The sequence below is a fragment of the Homo sapiens genome, chromosome 1 (assembly GCF_000001405.40).
Source record: "Homo sapiens chromosome 1, GRCh38.p14 Primary Assembly".
In the NCBI taxonomy this organism is placed as follows: Eukaryota; Metazoa; Chordata; class Mammalia; order Primates; family Hominidae; genus Homo; species Homo sapiens.
Genome location: NC_000001.11, coordinates 159122224 through 159137909, shown reverse-complemented (window position 1 = coordinate 159137909; position 15686 = coordinate 159122224). Strand labels below are relative to the sequence as shown.

Here is a 15686-nt window from a genome sequence, read left to right as displayed (position 1 = left end):
TGCTGCACTGCTGACTTAAATCTCATGAGGGATGTCGTTCACCAGCAGCGTCCTGGTTTTCCAGACTGGTGAACACTTTTGGATACATTTTTGATCAAAGCAAAGTAAGTCTTCTTGCAAAATGCGCAGTACTTTGCATTCCTGGAAAATTTAGGAAGTTTTAAATCATGCAGAAAACTCTCTAACATATAAAAACAAGTTAGACTCTAAGCTCAGATACCAACACATAGGTTTTATTTTTGTTCGTTTGTTTGAGATGGAGTCTCGCTCTGTCACCCAGGCTGGAGTGCAGTGGCATGATCTCAGCTCACTGCAACCTCCACCTCCTGGGTTCAAGCCATTCTCCTGCCTCAGCCTCCTGAGTAGCTGGGAGTACAGACGCGCACCAACATGCCCGGCTAATTTTTGTATTTTTAGTAGAGATGGGGTTTCACCATGTTGGCCAGGCTGGTCTTGAACTCCTTAGATCAAGTGATCCACCCGCCTCAGCCTCCCAAAGTGCTGGGATTACAGGTGTGAGCCACCACGCCCAGCCCCAGCACGTAGGTTTTAATAGGTCATTCAGGAGTATACATCATGGGTCAATTCCTCTTTGTGAGAGATGCCCTTACACATTCTGGGACTCTTAAGTCCAGCATGCTCTTCCTCTCTACAGCTAACCGTGGCCCCCAATCATTATAACAACAAAAACTATTCCATCAAATTTTCAAACCACTTCTGAGGGGCAATTCTAGTGCCACTGGCAATCACTGACATAAGGCTTGGAGGTGAGGCTTTTCTAAATGTTAGTGAGCACCACTGATGAGTTTGAGTGGAGGTTCTGGTTTCTATGTTAAAAGGCAAATTTTATCTGTTGGTAGAGAACAGACAGAGATAGAATAGACAGGTAGAGAATAGAGTCAGATATGTAGGCAGGTTTAGAGGTCTCCTGGGCCCAAAGCCTTTAGAAGCAGCAAGCTGTGGCACGGTGATTCCCAAGCCGTAGTGCTGTACCACCAGAGGTGGAGGGTTTTGTAACAGTCCACCTACAAAAGTGATTTATCATCTCTGGAGAGCTTACCTGGCCGAGATCACTTATTTTTAAACTAGTTATTTTTATTTATTGTCATTACAATAGTTATTACCTAATGGTAAAAATGTTCATTTTGCTTATATGTAAAGCTGTAGCAAATAGACCTTATCCCAGAAAACATGATTGCAGTGTTTATGTCCTTAGTACTTGCTATAAATTATAATGGAATAGAATATCTTTGAACTATGTGCTCCTTGGAAGTTAGTTGGATCTCTTTGCTTCCATGGTGGTAATATTGTTCAGTGATGATTCTTTTGAGAGAATGAATGGTGAGAAATGGCGTATTATGATAAGGGAAGTTGATAACCATGAGCATAGTAGAAGCAGCAACTTCATGGTAATGACACAGATCTGAGTCTGAATCTGAGGTCTCGCTATTTACTTGTATGAATGTAGACATGCACTAAGTCTAAGTCCCTTGATTTTCTCATCTAGTAAATGATCTAACTAATACCTAGAATTAAATAGGGTAAGCTGTAAAATTGTCGAGGTAGATACATAGGAGGTGCAAACACAAATGCTAACCTCCTTGTTTGTAGTTATTCTTTCTAAACCTTCAGATTGTATGGATCAAGCTAGTTTCTTGGAGGCTGTGCGTGAGGACTTGAGAGATTTTATCTGTGGCCCATGTTTCTAACCATCTTCTTCTTCAAGCGGAGTCCTAGTGGAAGTCAAGACATGCATAATGTATTTTAAATAGTAGTTACCCTCCAAGAGTACGTTCTGCCCATAGTGATCACTGTAAAAGGCCTAGATTTTTCTCTAGGGCTACGAGCAGAGAAGTCCTACAACAATCCTCAGATTCTAGTCCCCGTGGAAAGGGTCGTGTTAGGACTTCTCTGCGTGGGGCAATGCCGGGCTTTAAAGCCTGGGATGAGGGCGAGTGTGTCTATTTTGAGAAGGCAGGTTGGTGTCTACAGAGATGGAATTAGACTAAAAACAAATGCCTGGGGAGCTGGGAAGAGACAGGAGACGAGGGCTTGGCTGTTGTATTCCAGGACAAATCTTTTTCTGGGTGAATTCCTTGCTGTGGACCCAGCTCAGTCCTGAATCTGAAGGGAGCATCTTCTGGCAATCACTAACAATTGCTGATAACTTGTCTTCCTTTGCTACATCTATAGACCACTTTTAAATAAGGAAATGGTACCATCCAAAATATCCGACTGCTTAGAACAAGTTATATTATTTTGAGGGAGCATGAAACTTAAAAAAATTTTCTATTATGTATAAACTTCTAACGGTGCTTTTTAAGGTTTGTGCTTAAGCATGTCTCTAATGGCTGAGGAGAGTGATGGCTTACTTCCAGGTTCAGGAAGCCGGGCCTCAAGTGGCCTGTACTAAGCACAGCATTTCTCTGAAGTCGTAGACTTTATGCTACATTCTAGATTTAGGGTTCTATTTCATTATGTCTGCATTTTTAAAATACAAAAATAATAATCTGGCTCCAAATATTAGAGTAAAAGTGATGCCTGGCATGCCCCACATATGGGATCCTGGCATGCATAAATTATAAAAGCACAGAACTATATTAATATTAAAAATGAGGGGTAGTCCCTGATTATCCACTCAGAGATGAAGGTGAAAGTAATCTAGAGACAGGTTAAATAGAGGGAAAACTGACAGAGTTGAATGAATAATAATCATTAATTCATTTACTCACTCAACAAATGCTTATAGTACCTGCTGTGTGCTAAGAACTGAGCGAGGTACAATGATGAACAAATGAGACAGAGGTGATCACAGAAAAACATGTAAAGCTGCAATGGTAAATGAAGGAGAGATCCATGGAGCAAAGAAGTTCTGTGGCTGGGAGAGTTGACCTCTTCAGGAAGATCAAGGACAGCTTCCCCCAGGAAGTGTCTCTTGACTTGAATCTGAAAGATAAGGAAATAACTAGGCAAAGAATGAAGGAAAGGGCTTTCTATAAAGAGACAGCATAAATGAAGCTTTTGTAGAGGGAGGGAGAATGCCGTGCATGAAGGGCTTTTTTTCTTTCTTTCTTTTTTTCAACAGAGTCTTGCCCCGTTTCCCAGGCTGGAGTGCAATGTCGCGATCTCAGCTCACTGCAACCTCCGCCTCTCGGGCTCAAGTGATTCTCCTGCCTCAGCCTCCCGAGTAACTGGGATTACAGGCATCTGCCACCATGCCCAGCTAATTTTTGTATTTTTAGTAGAGACCGGGTTTCACCCTGTTGTCCAGGCTGGTCTTGAACTCCTGACCTCAGGTAATCCACCCGCCTCCGCCTCCCAAAGTGATGGGATTACAGGTGTGAGCCACCGCACTCGGCCGGATGAAGGACTGTAAAGCGAGTTTGGTTTCACAATAGAGAGTGAGGGAGAAGGCCGCATGAAGTGAAATTGGAGAGACAAGGCCCCAAAGGGCCTTGTATTCCCTGTAAGCTTTTTCTCTCCTTATCCTAAAAACAATGGAAAACCACTGAAAGATTTTAAGCCAAAGAATAACATGATTGGATTTGCATTTTGGAAAGATTACTCCAGCTGCTGCTCAGAGGACAGAGTGGAAGGCTGCCAGGATAGATGCTTGAGCTAAATTAGAAGTTACCACCAGAGGTTGTTGTGAAAAGCAATATTAGCCAGGATTAAGGGGGTGATAATGGTGCTGGTGGTGGTAATGGTAGATATAGAAGAAAAAGGGTTTTAGAAGTATTTATGAGCTAAAACATGCAGGATTTGTTGATGGATTAGAAATGGTACAAAGGGGAAAGAGTTGACAAGAAAGGCTCTAAGATTTCTGGTTTGCACACCATTCGCTAAGATCAGAAACACTTGAAGAAGGCCAAGTTTGGGGGAGAAAATGGTGAGTTCAGTTTGGAGCTTCTAATTTTGAGGTGCTTTTGAGATATAGTAGAGGAGATGTCACACACGTATGAAGGTGAGAGTCAGGTCAGGTCTGAACTGCTGATTTAATTTTGGAAGTCATATGCATGTTGGTGGAATTTAATGCCAAGAGTATGAATAAGATCACATAGGAAAAAGTACAGGGTGAGAAGAGAAAGGGCCTAAGAATGAGCTAAGAGGAACTTCAGCATTTAATAACAGAGTAAGAGGAGTCGGAGAAGTAGTGGGGAGAGGTAGAAGAAAAAGCAGAATATTATAATTTCTGAAGCCCAGGGAAAGAAGTATATAAGAAGAAACTTGTTTGAGTATCCTATGCTGCTGAGAAGTCAGTAGTGATGATAACTAAAATGTATCCACTAGATTATGTGACATGGAAGTCAAGGGTGATAGCTGTTTTAATTTCTCTGGAGTGTTAGGTAAAAAAAGCAGATGGAGGGAGTTGCAGAGGGAGTGGGAGGTAAGGAAACAAAGAATGCATATAGGCAACTTTTAGAAGTGTGGGCATGAAGACATGAAGAGAGGGTGGTGAGGAAGCTATGAGGAGTCAAACAAAAATATCTTTTTTTCCCTTACTTTAAAACTTTTCGTTATGGTAACTCTCCAACATAAATAAAATGAGAGAGAATAGCATTATGAATCCTCATTTACCCACCACTCAGTTTCAACAGTGATCAACTCGTGACCAAACTTGTATCTGTAGTTCCACACATCTTAATTGTTTTTTTAGTGGGAGATACTTGAGTTTCTGTGAAAGCTATTGGGAAGGAAATCATTAAGAGAGAGAGAAAGAGAGAGAGAGAGAGAGAACAAGAGCAAGTACATAAATAGAAGCCAAGGTTTTTGGGAATGTGATAGGGGATCAGAGTGCCAGAGAAGGCATTAGCAGTGGGTAGCTGGAGGGCCAGCTCCTCCGTGACCCTTGGAAGGAAAGAAGGTAGATGTTTAGATGAAGATTTGCATGTTGATATCTGGAAGATGAGGAAATTCCATCTGATGACAGTGGCTATCCTTCTTCTTTTAAAGTAAGTAGCCATGTCTTGAACAGAGAATAACTGAGAAAAAGAGAAGGTGTTGGATGTTTGAAAACAACAGAGAAATTTGGATTAGTTACTGTGGAGAGTGAGAGGATGATAATAATATAGCAGAGAAATGCAGAATATTTACTAGGCGGTGTTAAGGACCCATTTGGAGGTACTGGACTGCCTCTTATAAACAGATGCAATTCACATACATATATTAATAGGTGTCTATTTAATTTGTATGTCCAGCTCGCCAATGTTTGCCGTCATAATACAGGGTGTTACTCTATTCTCTGGTGGAGGAATGTGTCCACACGCATGTGTATATGTGTGTTGTACAGAGGGCAAGGGTATATGGATTCCACAATCTACTGAATGTATGGTCAGAATATATATATCGCAAAAGAGATGATTTTAATTCTTGAAATGTGGGTGTGTCTGAGTCCGTTCTTTTTCACATTCATTGGTTCAGGGCGCCACCTGCTGGGAGGCTTGCACAATGTCACCAGCCAGCTTTTCCAATGCAAACTCTAAATAAAATATCTTTTTTCTTGGTAAAGTCATTTTTTTTTCTTTGAGACAGAGTTTTGTTCTTGTTGTCCAGGCTGGAGTACGATGGCGCAATCTCCGCTCACTGCAATCTCCACTGACTACAACCTCCGCCTCCCGGGTTCAAGTGATTATCCTGCCTCAGCCTCCTGAGTAGCTGGGATTACAGGTACCCGCCACCACTCCCAGCTATTTTCTTTTTTTTTTTTTTTTTTTTGGTATTTCTAGTAGAGATGGAGTTTCACCATGTTGGCCAGGATGGTCTTGAACTCCTGACTTCAGTTGATCCACCTGACTCAGCCTCCCAAAGTGCTGGGATTACAGGCGTGAGCCACCACGCCTGGCAAGTCAGTGATTTTGCACACACAGCATTTGCCCCCATGAAGTTTGAGTTTCATGTTTTTCAGATACTATTTTATTTTCTGTATTTTGGGGTCAAAGCAGGAACATTAAAATACGTTCTTTCCCGACTTGATTTTGGTCTTTTGGTGAAATACCACGTCTTGCCTGTTTAAATGCATGTGTTGTCTGTAAATCTCATCCATGATCTATATATTCAAGAAGAGAAATAAAATTTCAGACTTTTATCTGAAATACCATTAATAAGAAATAGATTATCTGTTAAAGGTGTTTAAAGTACAGATGATCCAACTGTGTAGATTGAGCAGTATTATTGAACAGTCTCCTAAAATTTGGATTTTGTTGTCCGCCCACTTTCTATCCCAAGTTATTCTCCTCTAGGTTCTCCAACTGAAATGAATATGTCTTCATAGTTTCCAAGCTGATCTCTAAGGAATCTAATCTGCTACAAATTATTTTTTTAAATAGTCTTGTCTTAACCTGAGTATAGTGTCCTTTAAAACTTTTCCTCTAAGATCCTTGCATCACGCTACTAAACTGCTCCCAATTTCTAGATTTTCATTAAATAATTTCTTTCCTTCAAATGTACTGTATGACAAAGTTCAGAGATAAATTATTCTAATTACTTCTCCTGTAATTCAAAAACTCTTAATTATGATCATTATATATGTATACACACACATATGTATACATATACATATATATATGCACAAATTCAGTCATGATACACACAGAATTTAGAGAAACACAGTATAAAGTGTACCGAATCATTCCCCAAGGAAAATAGCATTAGTTCATCTACTCATCCAGTCTTTATGAAGTGCCTGCTGTGGGTCCGGAACTTTGAGAGGCACTGGAGATGCATTGGGAATAAGACAGGCATGGTTCTGGGTCTTAAACTGCTTGCTCTGGAGTGTGGAAGACAGACATTGATTAGGTCATCCCAACACATTATGGAGGGTTCACTCTTAGGGGAAGTACAGAGAACACCATGGAACATCTGGAAGCTGGAGGATCATCAGGGCTTCCTGGAAGAAGTGGCATTAAGCTGTGAAGGAAGGAGAGAAAAAAAGCACTCCAGGCAGTCTGTGAGACTGACATCTAATGCCGAGAGCCAGATTGTGGAGGAACTGATAAACCTTCTTAAGGAGTTAGGATTTTATCCTAAGAGAAAATACCAGCCAATGACAGATTTGAAGAGTGCGTGCGTGTGTGTGTGTGTGTGTGTGTGTGTGTGTGTGTGTGTGTGTGGTGACCAGGCTTAGATTTATAGTTTGGAATACAGTTTGAAAAGATTATTCCAGAAGAATTTGGAGAAAGACTGAAGGGAAGCTAGGTTGGAGACAGTTTGAGGGTATATGTGATATGGTGTTGGCTTGTATTAGAGAAGTGGAGAGAAAGAGAGAGAAGAGGATAAAACTGAGGGTCATTTAATATATCAAATGAATAAGACTCAGTGGAAATCAGCTGTAAGAGGCAAAGGGAAAAGGAGAGCCCAGGATGATTCCCGGCTTTCTGGCTTGAGCAAATGAGTGAATGGAAGTGCCTTTTAATGAGAAAGGGGATAGGTAGTGGAAGTAGATTCTCAAAAAGGCCAGGGAAGATGAGTATTTCCACTTTAGACATGTTGAATTTGAGGTGTCAAATATGTACCAGTAGATATGTCTAATGGGCAGCTAGATATATGAGCCTGGAACTGTGAAGAGAAATCTAGGTCAGAAATACAAGTTAGGAATGATCAGTCTGTTGTGAGTAAATTGATGTCTTGGGAGTGGTCAATATCTCATAGAAGGTAAAATAAGAAAAGAAGAATGGCTAAGAAGAAGCCCTGAGGAACCCATCATTTAAGGAATCATCAGAGGAGGTAGAAGCGAGCAAATGAGACTGGCCAGATAGGCAGGAAGAAAACTAGGAGGGCTGGGGCCAGAATCAATGAACAGATGCTTTTAAAAAAGGGTGCACGAGCCATAGTGTCAAATGTTGCTGATAAGGGCCGACGTTTCCTTTAGGATTTGGTAATACATGGGTTGTCAAGGGAAGCTTCAGTGGAGTGACAGAAGTGGACATTAGTGAGTTCCCAAGTGAGTGAGAAGTGAGGAAGGAGAAGCAAGGAGTGTATACAATTAAAACATTTGTTGTGAAATGGAGTTAGTGGATGGGATGGGAGCTGGAGGGAGAAGTGTGTGGTTTAGGGAGTGGTTTGTTTGACAGGGAATGGTAGTGAATGTTTAAATGCTCATGGAAGTTATCTCATAAAGACAAACATTGAAGGAACAAGAGAGAGGAGTAATCAATAGATAGTTTAGTATTTGAGGAGGCAGTCAGAGATAATGATAATAGTAGTAATGAAAGTTGTTCCCCTCTTATTCAGTAACTGTTCTGAGGGCATGATTCCATTTAATTCCTACACAGCCTCTCCTACAGAGGTACTTTTTATTGTTATCCTGTTTTTTTGAGATAAGGAAACTGAGGCATAGAATGGTACTCTGAGTAACCAACATCACATAGTAAGTGGTGGAGACAGCATTGATACCCAGTCAATCTAGCTTGAGACTTGCACCATTAACCACAGTGTCCTATTGTTGGGTTCACAACCTGGCTGTAGACTCAACCCTTAGTACTGTAACTGAAGAGAAGGTGGATAGAGCAGGTACAAATGCAGTTGTCAGCTTAGTTAGCATCATGAATTTTCTAGAGATGCCATAACAAATTTCCCCAAACTGGGTGCCTCAGAAATTACAGAGATTTATTCTGTCAAAGTTTTGGAACCCAGAAGTCCAAAATCAAGGTCAAGATGTAAGCAGATTTTCACTCCTCTGAACAAGCTTCTTAGCTTGGGTCTGCATACTTCCAAACTCTGCCTCTGTCTTTACCTGGCCATCTTTTCTGTGTCTCAGATCTCTCTCTGCATTTCTCTGTAAGGATGCCTGCCATTGGATTCCAGGCCCGCCCTAAATCTACAATGATCTCATCTCAAGATCCTTACATTAATTACATCTGCAAGATGCTTTTTACAAATGAGGTCACATTCATAGGTTTTAAATGTTAAAACCTGGGCATGTCTTTTTGGGGTCCACTGTTCAATCCACTGCAGTTAGGAGATTGGATGAGTTTCTGACAAGTGGACTTGATAATTTCTGTGAGGTAACAATGTGGGTTATTTGCTGAGAATGTGTCCCAATGTAGAGGGATCAAACATATAAGGGGAGTGAAGAAATCTTGAAGTATCATTATTAAAATATGAAGAGTGAGCTGACTAGGAAATGTAGTTTGTGGAGCAGTGTGGAGAACCAGATGAAGTTTATTGTCATGAATTTATAGTTGTGTGATTTTCCCTAGCAATGATTAGCAGCCCGGGTGCAAACACTGAGGAAGCTGAGAGTTAAAGTATCTAGATCCTGGAAAGAGGGGGTGTGGGAGGGAAGGAAGGACAAAGGCAGAGGGGGTTAGGATACTGGCAAGTGGCTTTCCATGGAAGGCCATAGAGGTGAAGAAGTCGGATAGAGGACTACTGGCTTGGTCAAAAGCAGTCAAAAGAGTGGGAGTAACTGAGTGAACTCGCTATAACGATACTAGGCCATTCTCCAAGTACAGAATATTTATTACTTTAAACACACAAAAAAATCTGGATTAGTGGTTGCAGTAAAGGCAAATAGAAGTTTAATGGAGATAGAAAACTCAAAGGAAAGAGAGGACGGGATTCTGGACAGGCCACTCGTGTAACCCCAGAGTCATGCAGAAAAATGGCAGGGCTTGGGGTGGTGTGTGTGTGTGTGTGTGTGTGTGTGTGTAAGCCTTGGCACATAAGATGACAATTTATAACAAAGCAATTATTTTATTGTGGGTTTATGATACATTTTTTATTATCACACTCCTATCACCATATCTGGCAACTATTTTATACTAAGCACTGTGCTGAGAGATGGGGAGGTTGCAATAAACAAGACATACAAAGTCCTGACTCTCCAGAGGCATGTGTTCTACTAGGAGAGACTGACAAAAAGAAAAGAAACAGAAACAAGTAAACAAAGTTGTTGCAGTTTGTAATGAGTTTGTTATGAAGGGAACAGATTAAGAGATTGCAGCAGAGACTGATGGGCAGACTAACTTTGGTTAAGATGAAAAAGAAGGCACTTTCAGTTGGTGACATGAGAAGTAGGGAGATGAATACTCCAGGGAAAGGGCTGCTACAACAAAGTGCCACAGACCTGGTGGTTTATAAACAACAGAAATTTATTTCTCACAGTTCTGGAGGCTATGAGAAATCCAGCCTTGGGAAGTCCAAGGTCAAGGCAGATACAGTGTGTGGTGAGGGCCCACTTGCTGACCCATAGATGGCTATGTCCTCATGTGGTGGAAACAAGGAACAAACTTCCTTGTCCCTCTTTCATAAGAGCACTTATGAAATCCCATTAGGGATCCCATTAAGGATCCCAACAGGGAATAGTTTTGCTGCGTCATAGATTACATTTCTGATCAGCTTCACCAAGGTATTCTTTCTTGCTTCCCAAAGTGATACTATCCATTTTAGATTGTGTTTTCATTACTGATAATACCAGAGACTTTGCCTCCCAATGGCCCCATGCCATCACATTGGGATTGGGATTTCAACATAGGAATTTTGTGGGGACACAGACATTCAGACCATAACACTAGTCAGGGCCGACACTGATCTGTTACTTGACTCAAGATAGTGTGGCGTGAGAGCAGAGGCGACCCTAAGGGCCCCGTGCACATTTGGGTTACATTAATTTTTTATTGTGAAATAAATTATACATACCCTAGGGTATATGGAATGTATATGAACCATTTAGAAAGTATAATCACAATAATAAAATAAACACTCAGGATCCTACCAGTCAGCTTAAAATGAGAACATCACTAGTTCTTTGAAGACTCTCGGGTGAACCTCATCAATTGCATTCTTTCTCAGTCCCTAGGGGTAGGTAACCAATCATCCCCTGGCTTGTTTATAGTTTTATTTCACATATAGCTATCCCCAAATAATATATTACTTTGTTTTGCTTTTTAAACTTTATGTAAGTGGAAACATATTCTTATATGAGTTGTTTTTGGCCCCTTTACCATTGTGTTTTGAGGTTTGTCCATGTTCTTGAATATACAACAGTTTATGTTCATTAATGGATAATGCTCCATGGTGTGAGTATAACACAATGTATTAATGCATTCTGCCTTTGATGGACATGCAGTTTTTTTCCAGGTTTTTTGTCTATTATAAACAATGCTGTTGGAATAATCTTATATCTCCTAGAGCAAGCAATTTCAGATTATACACTTGGGAATTGGATTGCTGAGTCATAGTTTATATTCCTGTTCGGTTTCACCAGGGTATGCTTTCTTGCTTTCCAAAGTAATTCTATCAATTTTTTTTTTTTTTTTTTTGAGACGTAGTCTCGCTCTGTCACCCAGGCTGGAGTGCAGTGGTGCCATTTCGGCTCACTGCAAGCTTCGCCTCCCAGGTTCACGCCATTCTCCTGCCTCAGCCTCTCGAGTAGCTGGGACTACAGGCACCCGCCACCATACCCAGCTAATTTTTTTTGTATTTTTAGTAGAGACAGGGTTTCACCGTGTTAGCCAGGATGGTCTCGATCTCCTGACCTCGTGATCCGCCCCCCTCAGCCTCCCAAAGTGCTGGGATTACAGGCGTGAACCACCGTGCCCGGCCTATTCTATCAATTTTAGATTACATTTTCATAACTGATAATACCAGAGACTTTGCAAACTGGAGGAAGAGATATTACCTGGTAACTACCTATAGCAGTGGCCACAGTGCAGGAAATGGGTGGAGACTCCCAGGCCAGTGGCAGTTTAGTCTTGCATTTTCCTTCGTCCTTCCCTGACTTCCATTCTCAGACAGGAAATAGCTCTCATCACATGAATGTGTTCAGAAGGCTTTTGAGAAGCTGAGAATGTCAGAAAACAAGAGATTCAAGTTAGAGGCAGAAATGAAGGAACATTCCTTTGCACACAGCTTTCGAGGGTCTAGAATGGCCATCAAGCAATAGATTGGAGTGGACTGACTTGCAAATGTTTTGCTCAGAATTCCTGGCCCTAGAATGGAAGTGTTTTTTGTAGCCATGAATTCTTATAGTCACAGTAGGAGTGACTGTGAGAACTGCATGTTTTCTAATCTCTTGTCCACAAAGGTCATGGAAATCTGGATGTAACTCTACCTGAAATTCTGATGCCTTGACACACAGGCCGACCTTACCCCTGCATTTCCTGGAGTAAGCACTTTTTACTTAAACACCTTCCTCTCTCCTCTTTTTCTCTAAAGGGTCAGCCATGAACCATTCACATTAGAAAAACAGCCTCTAATCTTCACAAAATCCATGAAAAGTAGATATTATTCCCACATTAGAAATGGGAAAACTAAGGCTCAGAGAAGTGAGTAACTTGGACAAAATTTCATAGCTTCTAAGTAGCAGATTTGACAGTCAAAGCCACATCTGTCTAAATTCATCTGTTCTCTCTCTCTCTGGCTTTCCGTGGCCCTCTAATTCTTTGTATTGTCATTTATAACCATGTGGCGCTTAACAAGTGACTTACCCTGTCTCAGCTTTAGATTAAAATATAACAGTTCACGTAGGCTCAATAAATGTTTATTTAAAAATGAAAATCACTATATGGACTTACATTCTAGTAGGAGAAATGTTGTTATGTTTGTCTCCTAAATCTAAGCTCACAGCCTCTGGCTAAGCATGTGAATTTAGCTTGTTCTACAGCTAATATGTGCCTACGGTTAGGTAGGTCTTTTCTATAAAGCATGTTCCAGTGTATTGTTGCTTATCTATTATTTTGCTTTTATACCGTTTTGCTGACTGGGAGCATATTTCCTCTCATAATGGTCACGATTTTTAGTGGAGGCTTTCCCGGGATATGCTGTTACCAACTCACAACATACTCTGGCTCTGATACTTGTCTCAGAGAAGCAGTCAGGCTTGGCAGCACAACCAGCATGCCAATAGCCTGTTCCCTGGGGACACTGCTATCGCTGTCTCCCAGACACTTTACCTCTCCAGTTGCACCTCAGCCTGCTAACAGGGGAGTCAAAAGCAGAGAGGAGGCATCACTCGAAGGTGGGAAAAATAATAAAATCAGTTTCTAGCTTGATGTGGTTTGGAAAGATCCCTTGCCACCACCTAAGATGCACCTGGAAGGTAAATTATTCAGACTTTTCTCCTGCACAACCTTCTTGCTGCCTCCAACGTCATCACCATCTCACCTGTTTTCCTCCTGCTCTACTGAGCTGGGGAGAGAGGTGCGCTGGTGGTTCTTCAATGGACCTCTGAAACACTGGGAAGGTCAAGGCTGTGATCTGAGGGGTTGTTCTCTGTAAACAAAAATACGTTACTCTCAAAACAGAAAACTGAAATAAAAGGAGATTTTTAACTCTTCTAATAATCGTCATGCCACATGAAGAAAGATATTAGGAGCCTTACGTTTCAGTTCCTGTTTGCATCTGGTTGCCCTATAACACTGTAGCCTCTACTTTAGTAAATAAACCGGGGAGAGGATTCCAAAGAATAGTAAAGATTACAGAGTACAGCAATAGACGAGAGAACAGAGGTTTTACATAGTCTAGAACGGGGGCTAGGACGCTTTTTCCAGAAAGGGCCAGAGAACAATATTTTAGGTTTTCTGGGTCCTTCTGTCTCTGTCGAATATTACTATTTGTTTTTATTTACCATTCTTTGAGAATGTAAAAAACATTTTCATCTTGGAGTCCATATCGAACTGCATTGCAGGCTGAATTTTGCTTGTAGTTTGCCAAGGCAAACTCTAGAAGCTCATTCTCAGTTTTACTACCATAAAATATCATTTTTTTTAAAAAAAGAGATGTAATATGGTACATTTTGAGAGTAAGCAATGAGCAGAAATATTAGGAACAAGCATTAATAATTAGGTAAGAATTTCTAGAAGACAAAAATGAAAGGGAGGACAGAGATTATGAGGGAGTAATTGAAAGGAGTTAGGGGTGTGAGAAAGAGACAGATACGGAATGAGAATGGAACAGTGTCTTGAGCAAAATAAAGAATCTGGGAAAGTGGAGTAAATGAGGCAGATTTTCTCCTTAGCATAGTTAGTGGCAAATATACCCCAGCCCTGCTGTGTAATAGAGTGAATTTGTATGGGTATTTGAGAAAAAAATCTACTGTTATCTTGTTTATAACTACAGTCTTCTTTTGACTATATGTGGCAGGTCGTAGGTCTTTACTGGCTTTCCTGCTACCTTCCGACACTGTGGTTTAGCACTTGTTCAGTTAGCTGTTGTGATTTAAAAAGAATGGAAAGTGTGAAACACCCGCTTGTTGTAGGTTGGCGAGGATTGGTGGATGGGTGGGAAGGATGCACAGCAATAAATCTGGGCAGCTTTCTATGGATTGTGAAGCAAATTCACTAATACCAGCCATCTAACTTTTGCCAAACTACGAATCTTTTTTCCCAGATACTTAACTATCAGGAAACATTTACAGATGAAGAAAGAAGAACATCTGAACACAGACTGAGGTAATAGAGAAAACAAGGAAATGAATCTCAAATATACGACGAAGTTGGAAAACAGAACAACAGGATACTTTTAGCTTGAAGTAATTTGAAAGACAGAGACTGCTAAATACCTTAGAAATATTGGATATCACAAGAAAGGGCCAACTTCCCTCAGAATTATGATGAAGCACTGAATTATGAGTTAAGGTCTCTTGGCTTCAGCCTTTAGCCTACTCCTTGCAAGTCTTGTGACTTTAGGAAAGCAATTTAGATTATCCAAGTCTCAGTTTTCTCATCAGGGAAATGCAGAGAGTATTTTTTTTATAATGGTGTTTTTATTTGTATGTAAATATTAAAGGGCTTGTAAGCTATAAATAACTATGATAATGACAGAGATTTTATTAGTCTTACTATTTCATTTGTGGGTTGACTTTACTCCTGCATAATAGGAAGCCACTTGTGTACAGTGACTTGAGGGGTTTCCAAAGGATTCTCTGCCTGTCAGATTTCTCCTAAATTAGACTATGATGAAATGACTAAATCGTTTTCATGGAGACCAAAGTTTTTATAGCCTCAGGTTAATTGATTTAGGAACATTAAGATGCAAATGTTATCAAAAACAGGGCTCAACACAACTGTAGACATCTAAGCTCTTGACTAACTAGTCACCTAGCAATGTATGAAGCGAATGGGTCAGAATTGCCACTAAATAGGGTGGCCCAAAGAACTTGGGGTCACCGTGAAAATAGTAAATGCCTATCAAGAGAACACATTAGAGGAGCAAGGCATAAAGAAGAGAGGAAAGGCCTTCTGCAGGTGACTTCACAATTTTGACTCAGGCTGGTTTGTTCTGCCGAGAACCAAGGTCTTTGAGAGATGGCAGCCTTTGATCTTTGTTCCTTTGCGTTCCTTCTCAGTGCCATTGTTTTTCTGAACAAGTGGATCCCAGGACTGTGTCCCAAGTAATCCTCCTAGAGCAATCGTGGTCTGGACAGCTAACTTTACACCAGCAAGTCATGCTTCCCATCCAGGGGCCACTGCTTTCAGACTCCCTTGCTTCCAGTTGGGAATGGAAGCCAATGGCATGGGCATGGCTGTGACACATCTTTTATAGGCCAGGGTGGTTAAAAAGCAGATGCTCTTTCTCTGCTTTTTCTTGTCAGCTTACTGGATATTGATGCCAGTGGCAATATTGGCAAACAAATCTTGAAGATAGATGGCCAGAGAAATGATGGAAACTGTGTCTGAGTCACTGCTTGGAAGAGAGCCACCAAACCAGGAGCACTTACATCCGACTGGAATGTGAGCAAAACATTC

The 15686-nt window shown here is 40.9% G+C and overlaps 1 protein-coding gene across 3 annotated transcripts in view; it reads left to right on the top strand.

Moving 5' to 3' along the window:
* The window catches only part of AIM2 (absent in melanoma 2), a 92082-nt gene that overhangs the window by 9223 nt on the left and 67173 nt on the right, over window positions 1-15686 (top strand). Inside the window, exons 2-4 of one of the 3 annotated variants that reach the window (XR_007064924.1) lie at window positions 5554-5667; window positions 14329-14390; window positions 15533-15671. The gene's annotated coding sequence lies outside the window, so the exon portion shown is untranslated. Of the gene's footprint in view, window positions 1-5553; window positions 5668-14328; window positions 14391-15532; window positions 15672-15686 lie in introns of those variants that run through there. The other 2 variants (XM_047434809.1, XM_047434808.1) reach the window with 2 other exon arrangements.